This window comes from Homo sapiens, chromosome 13, assembly GCF_000001405.40.
Source record: "Homo sapiens chromosome 13, GRCh38.p14 Primary Assembly".
In the NCBI taxonomy this organism is placed as follows: Eukaryota; Metazoa; Chordata; class Mammalia; order Primates; family Hominidae; genus Homo; species Homo sapiens.
This window is the reverse complement of record NC_000013.11, coordinates 32,147,550-32,162,916: the sequence shown is the minus strand read 5'-3', so window position 1 is coordinate 32,162,916 and position 15,367 is coordinate 32,147,550. Positions and strand designations below refer to the sequence as shown.

Genomic DNA, 15,367 nt, shown 5'->3' with positions numbered 1-15,367 from the left:
CCCTTTTTGATCCAGGATTATTTTTTCCCATTTCTCTCTGCTTTCCTGCTTCCAGGGAATGTACTCTTCACTCATATTGTGGTTGCTAGGTCTCAAAAGTTACACCCTAAGTGTGGACTGGAAGGAAGAAGGATCCACGGCTGGAAGGCTGCTGATGACAGCAGAAAGAGACTACAGGGCTGGGTGACATTGGCAGCCAGAAGGTGGAAGGCTGTGGTTAGAGAGCACAACGGCTTGAAATCATGGTTTTGAAGGTAACAGACCTTCAGGAAACCTTCACATTCAGCACTGTTCTTGTGCTAGTGGTGTCAGGAAGGAGGAAGGGAGTGGCTGTGTCCAAATGCAAATTAAAGAATGGGAAAGGGCAGTAGTTTCTAAAAGCTATTACTAGATAGCAAGAGGTAATCAACAGAGGGACCCAAGCTGGCTGCCCACGTAAGAGAGGACCATGACCACAATAACCAGGAGGTGCGGGGCTCCACAGGGACACTCAGAGCCTCAGGAGGCCACCAGATTATGTGCAGCCATGTGGGGTGGAAGTTTGGGTTATTTATTTGAATATTGATGGGAAAGGTGCTCTCAGAAGGTGAGAGGATGTGAGTAAACCAGGCTATGTGTAATGCATCATTCATTCAGTCAGCATGACTATTTGTTATCCTTCTCCAGGCTTTTTAAAAATTATACCATAATCAGATTATAGAGCCTAAATTGACATTTTTTGTCATCTTATTCGCCAGCTTAAAATTTCATCAGTCCAAATGCCTCAACAAGTACTTAAGATTAGCTGAAAATCTACCTCTTCAGTCTTATTTCAATTTCCTTTCATCATTGGGTTTGTAAACTATTTTCTCTTTTTTCCCTCCAAACCAATGACTTTTGTTCTTCCTCATTCCACACATCCCACGTGTCTAATAATTTTGCTTTCCAAATTGCAGTTAGGTTATGTCACTTTTGATTTTTAAATTAAAGACATGCATAACTGTCAACTGGAGCTCCAGATCAACATGAGATAACTAAGCTTACTAAATTATAATAAGATAATTTCACTCAAAGAAAATAAATTTTAGGTTCTCATTGGATTGTGCATTGGGAAGGTGATAAATATGATTTGGGGCAGCTTTCTGAAGCACTATACTAAAACTAGTTAAGGATATCCACGACCTGCATTCTTGTCCCCATGGGGGTCTGTGGGCCTCAGATTGGGTATCAGACTCCGAATGAACTCTTTTTTGGCCAGACCCATCTCATTTCCTGGTTCTACCTCTGTGCCTTTGCTCATGTCTCTGCCTTTACCTTTCTGAACTCTACCTTCCCTTCGAGAGGAAGTTCAAGTTCCACCTTCTCTCAGGAGTTATTTGTTGCCTTCCCCAGTCCATAGTAATCTCTTACCCACGAATCATGTATTGTATATTTTTGTGCCATTAGTTTGCACAACACAGGCTTTGGGTTGTTAGCGACCTTACGTGCTTACGTATTTGCTTCTAAGTTGGATTTTAAACCCCTTGAATATGGGAAAAATAATTTTTAAAAATTTGTTTTTTCCTGCCCATACCCAGTACCTCATTTGGTAAATATTTGTTAATTGTAAACTACCATTCTATTTTTTTTTCAGGAGTCACAACAAAGGATCGAAATTAATTTTGGCCAAATAATATTCTCACCTACCTAGCCAGTAAGTCAATAAGTTCAAGTTTTGACATCCCATCAGGAAGCAGTCGAGGAATAGCAGCAACACAGGTCCTGAAAAGATCTATTTTTGGCTTTCTCTCACCCCTAGAATTAGAAGACAAAATTTTAAAATAGGTCAAAAAGCTGTGAAAATAAAAACAAAATGAATTAAGTGCATGAACAAAGACTAGAATCCATGCCTTCTGAGTCACAGCCTGGTGTTAGCTCCATATTACTCTCAAATGTTTATGCCCTTTGTAGCTTGACCAGTTCTAATAAAACTTTAAGTAATTTAAATGTAAGACAGAGGTATATATCTGAAAAGAAAAATGCTGATATCAATAGTATTTTGCCTTGAATTTGCCCTTTAGTTGGGTCTAGTCCAGTTGCATTTAAAATACCAGAATCACAGAAATGGCTAAGTACATCCACATGAAGAAATGTATTTCATTCAGCATTTAAAAATGGAGTATATATATATGGAATGGTGCCTTTTGTAATTGTGATATCTAGCAGCTTCTCTCCCTGATGAGTTATGCTTCTCCCCTAGAGCTCTTTGTCCTGTTTTTAAAAATTTAAGTGCTTCCAAAATAAATCTTTCAAAATAAGTAAAATTCTGAAATGTATATAGTTGTGCACCCATTTCTGACTTTTAAAGTGATACCGATGGGCCTCACCTCTATGGAGATTTCCTTCTCTATTTTTAATTAATTTCTTGAGAATATGAATGTTTAATGATAATTAATGCCTTCTGCATTCTGTTGGAAAATGTGAAGGAGAAATATATATTTTGTGTTATTTCAATTTTTAGTTGTTTTAATAGGTAACTGTTAGATTTTTAACCACTTATTTTATCTGTAACCTTTATGGAATAAACTACCCACCAAAATCTTTCAAATGACCCAAGTGATAATATATAACAGCATATCTAAAGTCTGATGACTTAGTCTTCTGAGCATAAATATAGAATCAGTACCAAATTAATGTGATCCAAGGACACAAGCACAATAATGAAAATGCAAAATAGCATAAAAATAATTCCTTTTTGGAACAGTAACTGTAGTCAGAATAGAAATGCAACTAGCAGAATCAATCCTCTGTGTAATCTAAAGATCATAATCAAGCAGCAATTTTGCTCTGTGACATTACCTTTTATTGTGCTTTTACAAGTTTGTTAAGAATTAATAAAAAATTGTTTATATGAAAAATAAAACACATAATATGTTGTCTTCCAAAATAATCTGCTTTTGTGGGCAGTCATAAGATTATTTTCTTAATAATCTTATGACTTTTGTCATCCATAGAGCTTTTGCACGAGCTGTTGAGGACCCTGGAGAAGAGGAAGCAGTTGCACAGGGCTTTCCAATCAGCCAAGGAAAGAAATGTTTTCAGATATCCTCAATAGCTGTACAGTGTTAGAGCCTAGAGATCTCTTCTAATTGTTCATTTGTAACACAGTGAGTAGTTTAAACAGTTCTACTAGTTTGCTCACCAGATGTTTTTAACAGCTGGGATTATTTTTATATCTGTCGGAAAATGGATGACCTTGCCTGGCCTGAAGTGTAAGGGCGAACTCTGCCAGACTTCCAAGATGATAAAACAAGCCTAGATTAGAAACTAATTGCTGCATGATTTCCTCTTACTACTGCAGTCTTTGCTGTCTGGCCTTTTATGGGAAGCATATAAATCCCCAAAATTATATAATTAAGAAAATATATTAACAGATGTTAAAATTATTATTTATTATTCTTTACTTGTTATTTTCTTTCTTCCTTTCTTTCTTTTTTTGTACTAGCATGAACCACAAAAGGGATATGGAATAAAGACTGAGCAACACAGAATGTTCAATGTTCAAGTTCTTACCCTGCGTAGGGCCTGGGAAAGTGGTGGCCCAGCTTCAAATATCAACTCCAATGACTGTTCCATTAGTGTTGTGTGGGCCTCCACCCTCTTCTCCTAAATGCTTATATGATTCCCTAACATTTCTCTTCTTCCTTATTTTTTTTTTTTAAGAAATGATGCAATGAGTTATTTAGGAATCTGCCTTGAATTCTAGCACGAAAAATATTTCTAGCCCTATCTGGAGGTCTTAAGATGTTTGAATAGGAAAAAGTAAAGAAGAACCTTAGAAAAAGTTTGAACATTGATTAAAACATAAATAAAATGTTTACATTTAAACATGTACCTTTTTATGATTTTGAATATAATGTTTTTGTCCTGAACCTATCTTATGATGCCTATTGATTACGAATATGGTTGTCCTTTAAAGCTCTTTTTTTTTTTTTTTTTTTTTTTTTGAGGAAACAGCTATATGCATTTCTTTTTGTTTGTTTTTGGAACAGTTTCACTGTCGCCCAGGCTGGAATGCAGTGGTGCAATCTTGGCTCACTGCAATCTCTGCCTCCCGGGTTCAAGCAATTCTCCTGCCTCAGCCTCCCGAGTAGCTGGGATTACAGGTGCACGCCACCATGCCCGGCTAATTTTTGTATTATTAGTAAAGATGGGGTTTCGCCATGTTGGCCAGGCTGGTCTTGAACTCTTGACCTCAAGTGGTCTGACCGCCTTGGCCTCCCAAAGTGCTGGGATTACAGGTGTGAGCCACCATGCCTGGCGTAATGCATTTTTTATATCTTCTACATTATAAATTGAAAATGGCTTTAATATATGCAAGAAGTATGGAAAAATGAGGTTGAAAGTTTATTGATAATCTGGCAATTTGTGAGGTAAGAACTAGAACTGTAGATAATATTTTTAACGTTATTAATCTTGGTCAATATAAATTCTGCTATTATTTCGGTTGAAAAGTCTAAAGCAACATCATCTCATACTATTTAAATCGAGTAATTGGTGAGCTGCAGGATAATATGCATTGTATTATCCCACTTTTGTGGGGAAAAGGAGGTATGTATACACATACATTTGTATTGACATAAGGAAAGGTCTGGAAGGAATCACATTGATCCAAGAAACGGCTGCAGATTTCATGTGAGGCTCTGAGGAGGCTTTTATTTTAACTTTAGATTCTACCAAATACATATTTTAAATAATTCTGCATTTTTGCCTTTGCTTTAATCACGAGCACATGTTACTATCACAAAAAAAAATGCACACCACAATATGAATCTCTCTATATAGGTAACAATCTTCAGATTAATTCTTATATTTGCAGTTGAAAATGATGGATGACAGAAGAAATTTACCTAATTATATTTTTGGAAATTATGCCACAGCTATCAAATGTAATTTAATTCATAGCCCAACAACACAGTCCAAACTTTCTTAAAATATAGAATTATAACTTAATCCTAGTTCCTGCCATAGTTAAACAAAAACAGCAAATGCAAGTTCTAATTGTCAATCTAGATCTTCAGATTTTGAATAAGAATACTTGATTTGAATACATTTGAAGCTACGCATGCTTTCTTAAAATGCTTTCTGTGATGCAGTCTGTGATACAATCACACAGAAACTATGAAGTAGGAACTGTCACGAGATGTATAAAGATGGAATGTCTGTAAATTTGGGATGTCACTATGTCACATGAGTTGTGATGGTGCCTGGGAACAAAATGCCATTTCTGAAAAACATGGACTAGTGGGTCATGGTCCTCATTTTCTAACTTACTGACCTAGTGATACTTGAGATATAAATAAAATAGATCAATCACAGATATGACCTTATTTTTATAGTTAATCAAATACTGTGAAGGTTTTTTTTTAACTATCTTTACTACTTTTTAGAACCCTAAGAAGATGAAAACAAAATACAGAATAAATGAGAATACTCTCTACTTGTGTTTTCTGGTTAATCTTTCACTGATAACTTAGTCTTTACTGTACTCACGTGATCATGTCTTCCGGTTCTTTGTTTAACATCTGTACATTAGTCAGCATCATACACCTTCCTACTTCTTTATCAAGGTGCCTTAAAATGTTGTCTACAGCTTTTCGTACTTGAGAGTAATATAAGGACATGCCTGAAAAACATGCATTATAGTTATACCTTCAACTGAATCTATCAAAGGATATCCTGATTTATTCATCCTCTATAATATTTTTTACTGAAGACCTTATGAGTCAATGACTTCCTTGAGCAAAAGGGCTGTCTGATTCAATCTCATCTGCACAGCTTTTAGCATAGTGCCTTGCACTTAGTAAGTGTTCACCAGATAATCATTTTAATTCAATGTATAGGAATTCTAATACTCAATTGGAAGTATTTTCCAGAAGAGTTAAAATAATAAGAAAATACAAAATTCAAATTAAAGCAATTTGAATTTTAAAGTTTCTAGTTAGCATAAGAAAATTCACCATCATTAGTGATTATGTAAATAAAGAATAATTCTCATTGGGGGTTAGGACTTTAATAACTCCATATGGCCCTCTGAAATATATATGTGAATTTTTTTAGTAAAATAAAATAACTTCATATTATAAATTTAAAAATGAAGAAAAACATATTTTAGCTATATTATTTTTATTGTTCTCATTAACTACAGTGTTGATGTCCCACACTGGAAGACGAATGTGTATACGAATTATACAAATGAAAAGTAAATACCTTTGTATTTAAAATTTGTACCTTAGTGAAATAATTATTCATGATTATTTCTCATGCATTACATCTGTTTTTTTTTTTTTTTTTTTTGAGATGGAGCTTCACTGTTGTTGCCCAGGCTGGAGTGGAATGGTGCGATCTTGGCTGACTGCAACCTCCGTCTCCTGGGTTCAAGTGATTTTCCTGCCTTAGCCTCCCAAGTTGCTGGGATTACAGGCATACACCACCATGCCCAGCTAATTTTGTATTTTTAGTAGAGACAGGGTTTCTCCATGTTGGTCAGGTTGGTCTCGAACTCCCAACCTCAGGTGGAGTTTCGGCCTCCCAAAATGCTGGGATTACAGGCGTGAGCCACTGCGCCCAACCTATTACATCTTTTAAAAGTCATTTAAACATTGCATAACTAAAGAGAAATATTTCAAAGCAAAAAATTTCCTTGTGTGTTTCTCTCAGGTCTGTAGAATCCAGTAACTATCTTAATAAAGTTTGTAGTAGGTGTCTACATTTGGATACTTGGTAAGAAATGAACAAATGCCAAAAACATCTCTTTAGATAAGATAGTTAAATTAGAAAATCATCTCATGTAGTCTAAATCCACAATATAACCTGATGTGTGTTGTGAGATTTGGCATGTTTAAAACATGTTAAACTAAATTTAACATGTTTAAATTTAACTAAAGAAAAAAGAAGGAGATGAATGAATGAATTGATGAACAGGATTATTTAGCAAAGCACACAGATGTCTTGGAGACTTACTGAAAAACGTAGTAATCATTATTAGAGGCTTTAAAAAGACCATAGATAAAAGTCTAACATTTAAATGCCAAAATATTTACCAGGAAGTTCTAAAAAGTTTAAAGAGCAGTAAAACAAAACACAGCATGAATCAATCAAAACAATTAATGTTGGAATGTCTTATCATCTACTTCTATAAAGATTTTTAAAAACTGCATCTCACTAAAGATAAATATCTACTGGTCATTTTAAGGGCTTAATAAGGCTTAGTTCTTATGCACTTCTGAAACTCACCTATCATTTTGGCTTCCTCTTCAGTTAGTGTTTTACTCAAATATGTTTTCTTTACTCTTAACGTGTTTCCTGAAGGAAGAACGGCTCCTGTAACCGGCATGGGAGGTTCCCCATCTTTCTGCTGCAAGCTATCAGCTATGACCAAGAATGCCCGTAAACCAATGTTCATTCTCTGTAAGAGACAATATTGTCATGACAAAAGGAAAGGCCCAATTATTGTAGTGGAATACATCCATAAGTCTTTCAGATAGTTAAGACTGAATTGCATGTAGATGAGTATGAGAAAATAATTTAAAAGCCACAAGAGTGTAGAGCAATCTTATGAAAATTAAGTTTCTGTCACTGTTTTTTCTTGTTGCATTATAAGAAAACAACAGGGGAGATTTCACCGACTGTGGAGGGCATGTTTGAGATGGTCATGTACTATATTCTGTTGAGGGGAATGCTGAGTGTATCTCTAAAAGATATGCCTCATCCTCTGGATGCAACTAAGGTAAACTGAGGTAAACAAGGGCTCATACGTCTCCTGGAAGAAGGGAGGCACCACATGTGTTAGCTCACAAAGATTGAATGGAAACACCCAGGGTTCCAAATGGGAACCATAAAATGAACATCACCCGCTCTCAACTGCACGTCCTGACTTCTGATTTACAAAGGCCAGCAAGTTTGAGAAGAAATTTTAAAAATTCAATGCCACAGAACCTGTTACTGATGAAAACACATGGGTGTGTAAGAAGAAATGTGATTGTGGGCCAGATTGATCTTCCTTAGGCTCAGGTATGGCACAACTTTGGCCCTGAAAGATGGCTTAGTAAGACAGCAGCTCTCCCTAGTGCTCGTCTTCAAAGGTCAGAAGTTACCTAAACATCTGTACTCCATTAAGCAGCCATGTGTGAAACATTTACACCAATATTTTTAAAACTCATGAAGTAGTAAGTTCCCCAAGTATACTACTACCTATGGAAGAAAATAATGACGATTACTAGGACTGATGAAAATAATTTAGTTACAATGTATTGAGTCCCTAAAATATATCCAGCACTGCTCATTAACTTTCATCCTTAACACAGTCATATAAGGAAGGTATTCCCACTTTACAGGGTAAAGTATTCTCATTTTTTCAGGTGAGGAAACTGAGGTATAGTGGGAAGCTTTGCATCTAAATCTGGTTTGCCTGAATCACCTATTTAGTAGAACACGATTACATTTTATAACATAAAGTAACATAGACTTCTATTTATTTTAAAATTATTTATTCAAGCTTTAAGGAGTTATCATAATTCAACCAGGATTTGCTAAATATTTCTCTGGCTCATTTATAAGCAATTCAATGTGTACTTTATGATTTTTTGGCCTTAAATTATATGCTTTCTCCATTTTCTAGAATGAAAGAATATTACTTTAAAAAATAATCCGTGTATCGAAGCCCATTAGTTCCCTCTTTTGATAGTTCTTTTATGAGATGTTTCTAGGCTTGTGTGTGTCTCTCAAGACACAGCAATGTTGTGGATAAGAAAATAAAATGGTCAATTCAGCAGATGTAGTACTAATATAATAACTGTGGGATGACATATGTGGTCAAGCCTCAATTATTTGCCAGTGGATTATCCAATTTAGCAATCATCCTTGTCAGTTCTCTAAGTTTTCCTTTTCCCGGGACAACACTAAGGGCAGAAATAAGATGGGATAGTTTGGTACACACATTTTGAAGTTAACTTCAAAAATAATTTATGTTTTTTTAAGTTTCATATAGTTCATCACAACTCTCCCTTTTATTTGTCTGGCCTTGGAAAATTACTTAACTTTTCCATGTCCAGGTATCTGCTTCCTTTCTGTAAAATGAGGACAGTAATACCTATCAATCATATAGGGCTATTGTGAGAATGAAAGAAAATGTCTGAAAAGCTGCTGCTGGCAAATATCTCTTGTAAGCCAGAATCCCCACTCTATTTTTTTAAAAATCAGGTTTATTGAGATATAAATTACATGTACTAAATGTCTCTCCTTTTAGTTGTACAGTTGTTTGAGTTTAGAGAAACATACATAGTCAGGTAACCATCAACAGAATCAAGATCCAAAATATTTCCACCATGTCCAGAAAGTCCCCTGTGCGTTTTTGCGGTTAGTCTTCTCTCCTAACCCTAGCACCTGACAGACATTGTTTAATTTCCACATTCCACCTTTTCAAGTATGTGATATAAATTGAATCAAATAGTACATAGACTTTATATCTTGCTTTTTTCACTGAGCACAATGCTTTTGAGATGTTATTGCAAGTATCAGCAGTTTGTGCATTTTTATTGCTAAATAGTACCCATTGTATTGATGATTCACAATTTGTTTAGTCATTCACCGGGGTTTGGACATGAGTTGCTTTTTTATTTTTAGTGACTTTGAATGAGGCTGCTATAAATGTTTGCACAAACGTTTGTGAGCATGTGTTTTGATTTCTCTAGGAAAAATATCTTGGGATGGAATTGCTGAGTCATATGGTTAAGTATACGTTTAATCTTAAAAGAAATTGCCAAATTTTTCTAAAGTGGTTGTACCTTTTTGTAATCTCACTAGAATAGTATGAGGTTCTAGTTGCTCTTTATCTTCCCCAGTACATCTCGTTTCGGTTTTAAATTGAATTTCCTTAATGACTAATGAGGTTGAATGTCTTTTCATGAGATTATTAGCCATTTGTGTCTCTTCTTTGGTGAAGATGCTGATCCTTCTGCCCATTTAAAAAATTGGGTTATTTTCTTATTATTGAAATGTGGGAATTCTCTATATATTCAGATGGAAGTCATTTGTCAGATATGAGTTTTGTAAATATTTTCTCCCAGTCTGTGGCTCTCCACTTTAACTGTTTTTTGAAGTACAGACATTTTTAATTTTGATGATGTTCAATTTATCAACTTTTTTCTTGTATAGTTTATGACTTTTATGTCCTAGAAATTTTTTCCCACCTGAAGGTCATGAAAATCTTCTTTTCTTCTGGAAGATTTATAGTATCAGATTTTACCTTTAGGTTTATGATCCATTTTGAGTTAATTTTTGTTTATAGTGCAAATTATAGGCTGAGGTTCAGTATTTTGCAGGTGGATATCCAATTGTTCAGCACCATTTATTGGAAACATTATCTTCTATCCATTGAATTAACTTAGAATCATTGTTGAAAATCAATTGACCCTATATGTGTTAGTCTATTTCTAGATTTCTAGATTCTCTATTCTGTTCAACTGGTTTTTATATTCATCCTTCTGCCAATACTACACTGCCTTGATCACTATACAACTTTATAGTAAGTCCTGAAATCAGGCCATGCTACTCTTCTAATTTTATTCTTCTTTTACAAAATTATGTTGGTTATTCTAGTTCCTTTGATTTTCCATATAAATTTTGGAATCAGCTTGTTGATTTCTACAGAAAAGGTACAGAGATTTTAATTGGGTTTATTATTATTGAGATTACAGTTTAATCTACATAGATCAATTTGGGGACAACTGACCTCTTGTTGTTAACAGCGAGTCATTCAATCTACAGTTATTTCTCTTCACTATTTGGGTCTTCTTTGATTTCTCTCAGGATTTAGTAATTTTCAGTATTAAAATATTGCACATATTTTGTCAGCTTTAGTGCTAAGTATTTTGTTTTTCAGTGTTACTGTAAATTGTTCAATTTCTAATTGTTCATAACTAGAATATACTGATTTTATTTCTCTTGTATCCTACAGACTTCTTAAAATCATTTATTAGTCCCAGTAGGTTTTCTTTAGGTTCTTCATACATAAATAATCATGTTCTCTGTGAATTAAGACAATTTTATTTCTTCCTTTCCAATCTATACGCTTTTATTTCTTCTTCTTGCCGCTAGCACTACATAAGACCTCCGACTTCAGGTTATTTTAGGTCAAGGAAAAACAGAGAAATTGATGACCAAGAAACTCTTCTCACAGACCAGCAAGTCTTCACGACGATGAGGATGGATATAGAAGGTCATTCAGGTGTGCACTAAAACAAGACAATTACCTGGAAATTTTGAAGAGTTGAGTGGTGGTGCAGCATAAAGTTTACAGTAAGATAATCCTTTAGATCTCCAGGCCTTGTTCCACAAGCTACTTCCAAAATATTATTTAAGACCCAATCTGAACTTGTTTCCCGAGAAACAATGCCCTACAGCATGTTTCATCAAGTGTATGACATCTGCTTCGCAGACTATGCTGTCCTCCCGTCTGCTTTTGAGTGGGGTTATGGGTATGCCTTTGGGCTTATAATTACCAACTACTGATAAATGAATTATTCCATAAATCTACAAGATCACGAGAAATGGAAGAAGATAACCAAATATTTACTCCTATTGGTATATATTTTTTTTAAATCACAGTTCCAACTGCTCTACACAGAGAGGTTAACTAATTACGCACTGACTGAATGAGGAGTTTGAGAAAAGAACCAAGAATACATTTTATAGACAGTGATAATGATGGTAGTAGCTTTTAACATGTCCTTTTTAGACAAGTAATCCAGTAATTCTGAGAAATGACTGCTAAAGACAGTAAAGCCATGACTGCTAAGAAATGAATAATGTCTTGAGAACCTTCCCAGCAAGAGAAGGCTCTTCACTGTACAGCTCTGGGCCTCCTTCCAGCCCAAAGCCTCTGGTTTGGCACTGGCCCTGCCCCCTCCCATTGGCCCAGAGACCCTGGCTGCAGCCATTCCAGAAGCCTGTGAGGTCACTGGACACCAGACAGAAACTCCCATTTTTGGACTTTTTGTGCTGTTCCCAGATACGTGGCAACCTTAGTATCAAGAAGAGAATATGGGGTGTGGTGGGAAGGAGCATGGGACTAACAGGGACCTGGGTCCCCTCTGCTACTAACAAGCTGCCAGTCTCCAGCCTCCAGGCCCCCTTCCTCACTGACAGAATGAAGGAGCCAGGTGATAATATAGAGATGACAGGAACTCTCTATGTATTTGATTTTTATGGTGTGCAGTCTCCTCTCTCTCTCTTTCTTCCTTCCCTTTTTTTATCTTAAGAGTTTGTAATGTACTCTTCCTAATATCACAATTCTTCTGCGAGTTGAGGTAGAAAGGCATTTTGTCCTTTTTACTGGTGAAAAAGCTGCAGTTCATAGAGGTAAATGTCACACAGCTAGGAAAAGCAGCAGAGCCTGTGGCAAGTGGCAAATTTGGCTCTGCTGACTTCTGGTCCAGTGTTCTTTCTACAACCTCATAGAAAAAGAGGCAGTGTGCCAGGCATACTTCTGTTGGCTGACAGTGTTTTTAAAAGTTTAAAATTATATGTGCTGTTCATGTGCACAGCCTCCACTGCTCCATGTTGTGTATGATGCCCACTGTATACTCATCTCCACAATCTGCCTGCCCTGGAGTTGGGATGCTGTCACAGAAACAGATGTGCATACATTATTTATTTAATTTCATTGTTTTACTATTTTTATTATTACACATATTTGTTCTTCTCTATTTCATCACTTCCCGATGCTAAATTTGTTGAACAGTTACAAGTAAAAGCACTGACTTTTCTAAAATAAAACAACCTAACTTTTAGTGATGAATTATCTTTTTGGGCAAGAATTACTTTGTTTTACAAGAACAGAATATGGTAGCACATCAACCTTTCAACTAACCGTTTCATTCTAAGTCTATTCATCCAAAATTTTACTTCTGAAATTCCACCATCATCTGAATTTGGACATTGACAGAAACAAATAGAAGACTTTGTGAGAAGACATCCCTCATCCCATTCTCCAAAGCCGCAAAGCAAAGGTATGGCTCCGGAAGACATGCTCTGTTAGAAGTACATAAAAGGATCATTCATACCTCTGGGTTGAGACTGAATGCTTTTGCTGGTTTTCCCACACAAAGAAAATCGAAAATGATTTCTTTCATTGCAAAATCTAAACGTTCCTGTAGTAAAAACAAGAACACAAAATGAAAGTGTTAAAATATAAACTCAACAGAAAATGGCTATTTTCATCAATATGCACCAAGCGAACAGGTGGTGGCTAAAAGAGGAGGGGCACTGCTCAGTTTTGTGGCTTGCAGAGAACCTGGAGGAAGACCATGCCCATCTGAACCGAGGGTAGGGCTGCTTCTGTTTTGTGTGGTGTGCAAGGAGGCCTTCATTATACAAAATATGTAATTGGCCTCTAAACCACAGTATGACTAATGACAAAAGACCCCCCCCCACAAATCAAATAACCAAACACTTGGGGTATCTGGGCTTATAAAGAATGTGAACTCTTCCTACTTGTACTGTACCTCTTTAAAATGTATTTTTAAAGAGATCACTGCAAAATGATCATTTTTTTCTATTCTCTAACATTAAAAATCCTTTGGCTCATAGTATAACAAGTAATTCTGCATGTGAGACATGTAATCAACACATAAGATATATTAAGGTTACTTAATATATCAGGGGTGTATATATATATATAGTATAACAGGTATAATATGCCAGGTATATATATAACAATAGTTAATATGTATAATTAATATATGTAAAAATATATCAGGAATATATAACAGAAATATATATATCAGGTATATATAAATAATTAATATATATAATTTTTATATATAAATATATCAGGTATCTGTGTGTATATATGTGTGTATATGTACATATTTATTTATATATATAAATAAAACAGGTTCATTTTATACAACATATTCCAGAATAAACAAAGCACATTCTCAGTCACATGATAACTACATGCAGAAAAATTACATTAATTCTTTCACCTGCAGAGCAGGTAATGTCCTTTCCCTAAGTACAAATATTACAGAACTATTTCATTGCACCAAACTCAAAGAGAGCTATCACTGTCAAATCATCTGTGAAGTAGCAACTGAACCTTACACTTTATATCAGTATCAACTGTACTTCAACAGTACTTTCATGCCCATTATTTCCTTTTAAGCACACAATATTCTGAAGCAAGCATTTTTATCCCCATTTTACAGATAAAGACACAGAAAAAAGATGTTCTCTGACTTGTTTAAGGTTATAGAGATGGCTCATGGCAGAGGCTGGACTGGAATAATAGTCTTTTCCTGTTCCTCTGCACAAGGAGGTCAAAGTTGGGGTAAACCCATTTACTCACAAAGTGTTTTGAAAAGTAAAACTCCTGGGCTCAAATAGTAAATTACATATTAAAAACTATGTTTAATATTACTGGACCTGTTTTTAAGTCATTAATATACACAAAGCACTTAGAACAGTTCTTGGCAAAAGAGTGCTTGATAAATGCTAATATTCCTATTAAATTCTTTTTCATAGGTTGAAAGAACATTATTATTTATTCCTCAAATTTTGCTAAATTGTTCTCTTTTGGTTTTCTCTGAACGCCAGACCCTTTGCTTCCTCTTTACTTGTAGAATCCAGAGCAGAGAAACAGGAAAAAAACAGAGGTGAAGAGTCAAGACAATCGTACTAATTCACAGACTTTGTGACTCAGATGAGCCACTTAAACTCTGTCTCTGTTTCTTCATTTATCAGATGCTGAAAACACTTGACATACTCAACTCACAATTTGTTTTGAAGCAAAAGAATAGGCTGTGTGTGAAAACACTTTAAATCTTTCACAGAAGTCTAAACACGTAAGATGCTAATTTAGACTTTCCGTCTTTTAGTACTTCATAAGAAGGAGGCTGGCTGCTGAAAAACCATCAGAAGATTCCCACCACCGGAATCTTCTCCATTACCTGGGCAATGAACTGGATGATTTTCACAAAGATGTTCAGAGGCATGTCCCTTGGTACCACACCGCGGGACCCTTTGGGGAAAAGTGTTGTGATGATGGTTATAAGTCGGCTGAAAGATAAGGGGGAAAAGAGAAAACAAGCAAGATTGGCTGAGCTCCAGTTCTTTAAGGGAAAATGGCAGATATTTCATCTTATCTAAGAATCAGAGAGAATTCAGAAAAAGAAAACAAACCACCTCACCTCTTTCCATTAGCATAATTACTCTATGAAAAGTTTTTCTGGAAAACTAAGAGCAGTTGGAAAATTACAGCTGCTTTTTTGTTAAAGTGGCAAATGCAACTCTGGAAGTGGAACTTGTTGATCCTGGTAGAGGCTGGAGCTTTTGTAATGGGTGTTGA

At 35.4% G+C, this 15,367-nt stretch overlaps 1 protein-coding gene across 5 annotated transcripts in view; it reads right to left on the bottom strand.

Moving 5' to 3' along the window:
• FRY (FRY microtubule binding protein) overlaps positions 1–15,367 on the bottom strand; it is a 267,352-nt gene that overhangs the window by 136,209 nt on the left and 115,776 nt on the right. For all 5 annotated transcript variants that reach the window (XM_047429999.1, NM_001411012.1, XM_047430000.1 and 2 more), the window contains exons 13-17: positions 14,970–15,078; positions 13,083–13,169; positions 7,255–7,426; positions 5,512–5,644; positions 1,666–1,773 (exon numbers count right to left, since the gene is read on the bottom strand). In XM_047429999.1, the coding sequence (XP_047285955.1) occupies positions 1,666–1,773; positions 5,512–5,644; positions 7,255–7,426; positions 13,083–13,169; positions 14,970–15,078 (609 nt within the window). The remainder of the gene's footprint in view (positions 1–1,665; positions 1,774–5,511; positions 5,645–7,254; positions 7,427–13,082; positions 13,170–14,969; positions 15,079–15,367) is intronic.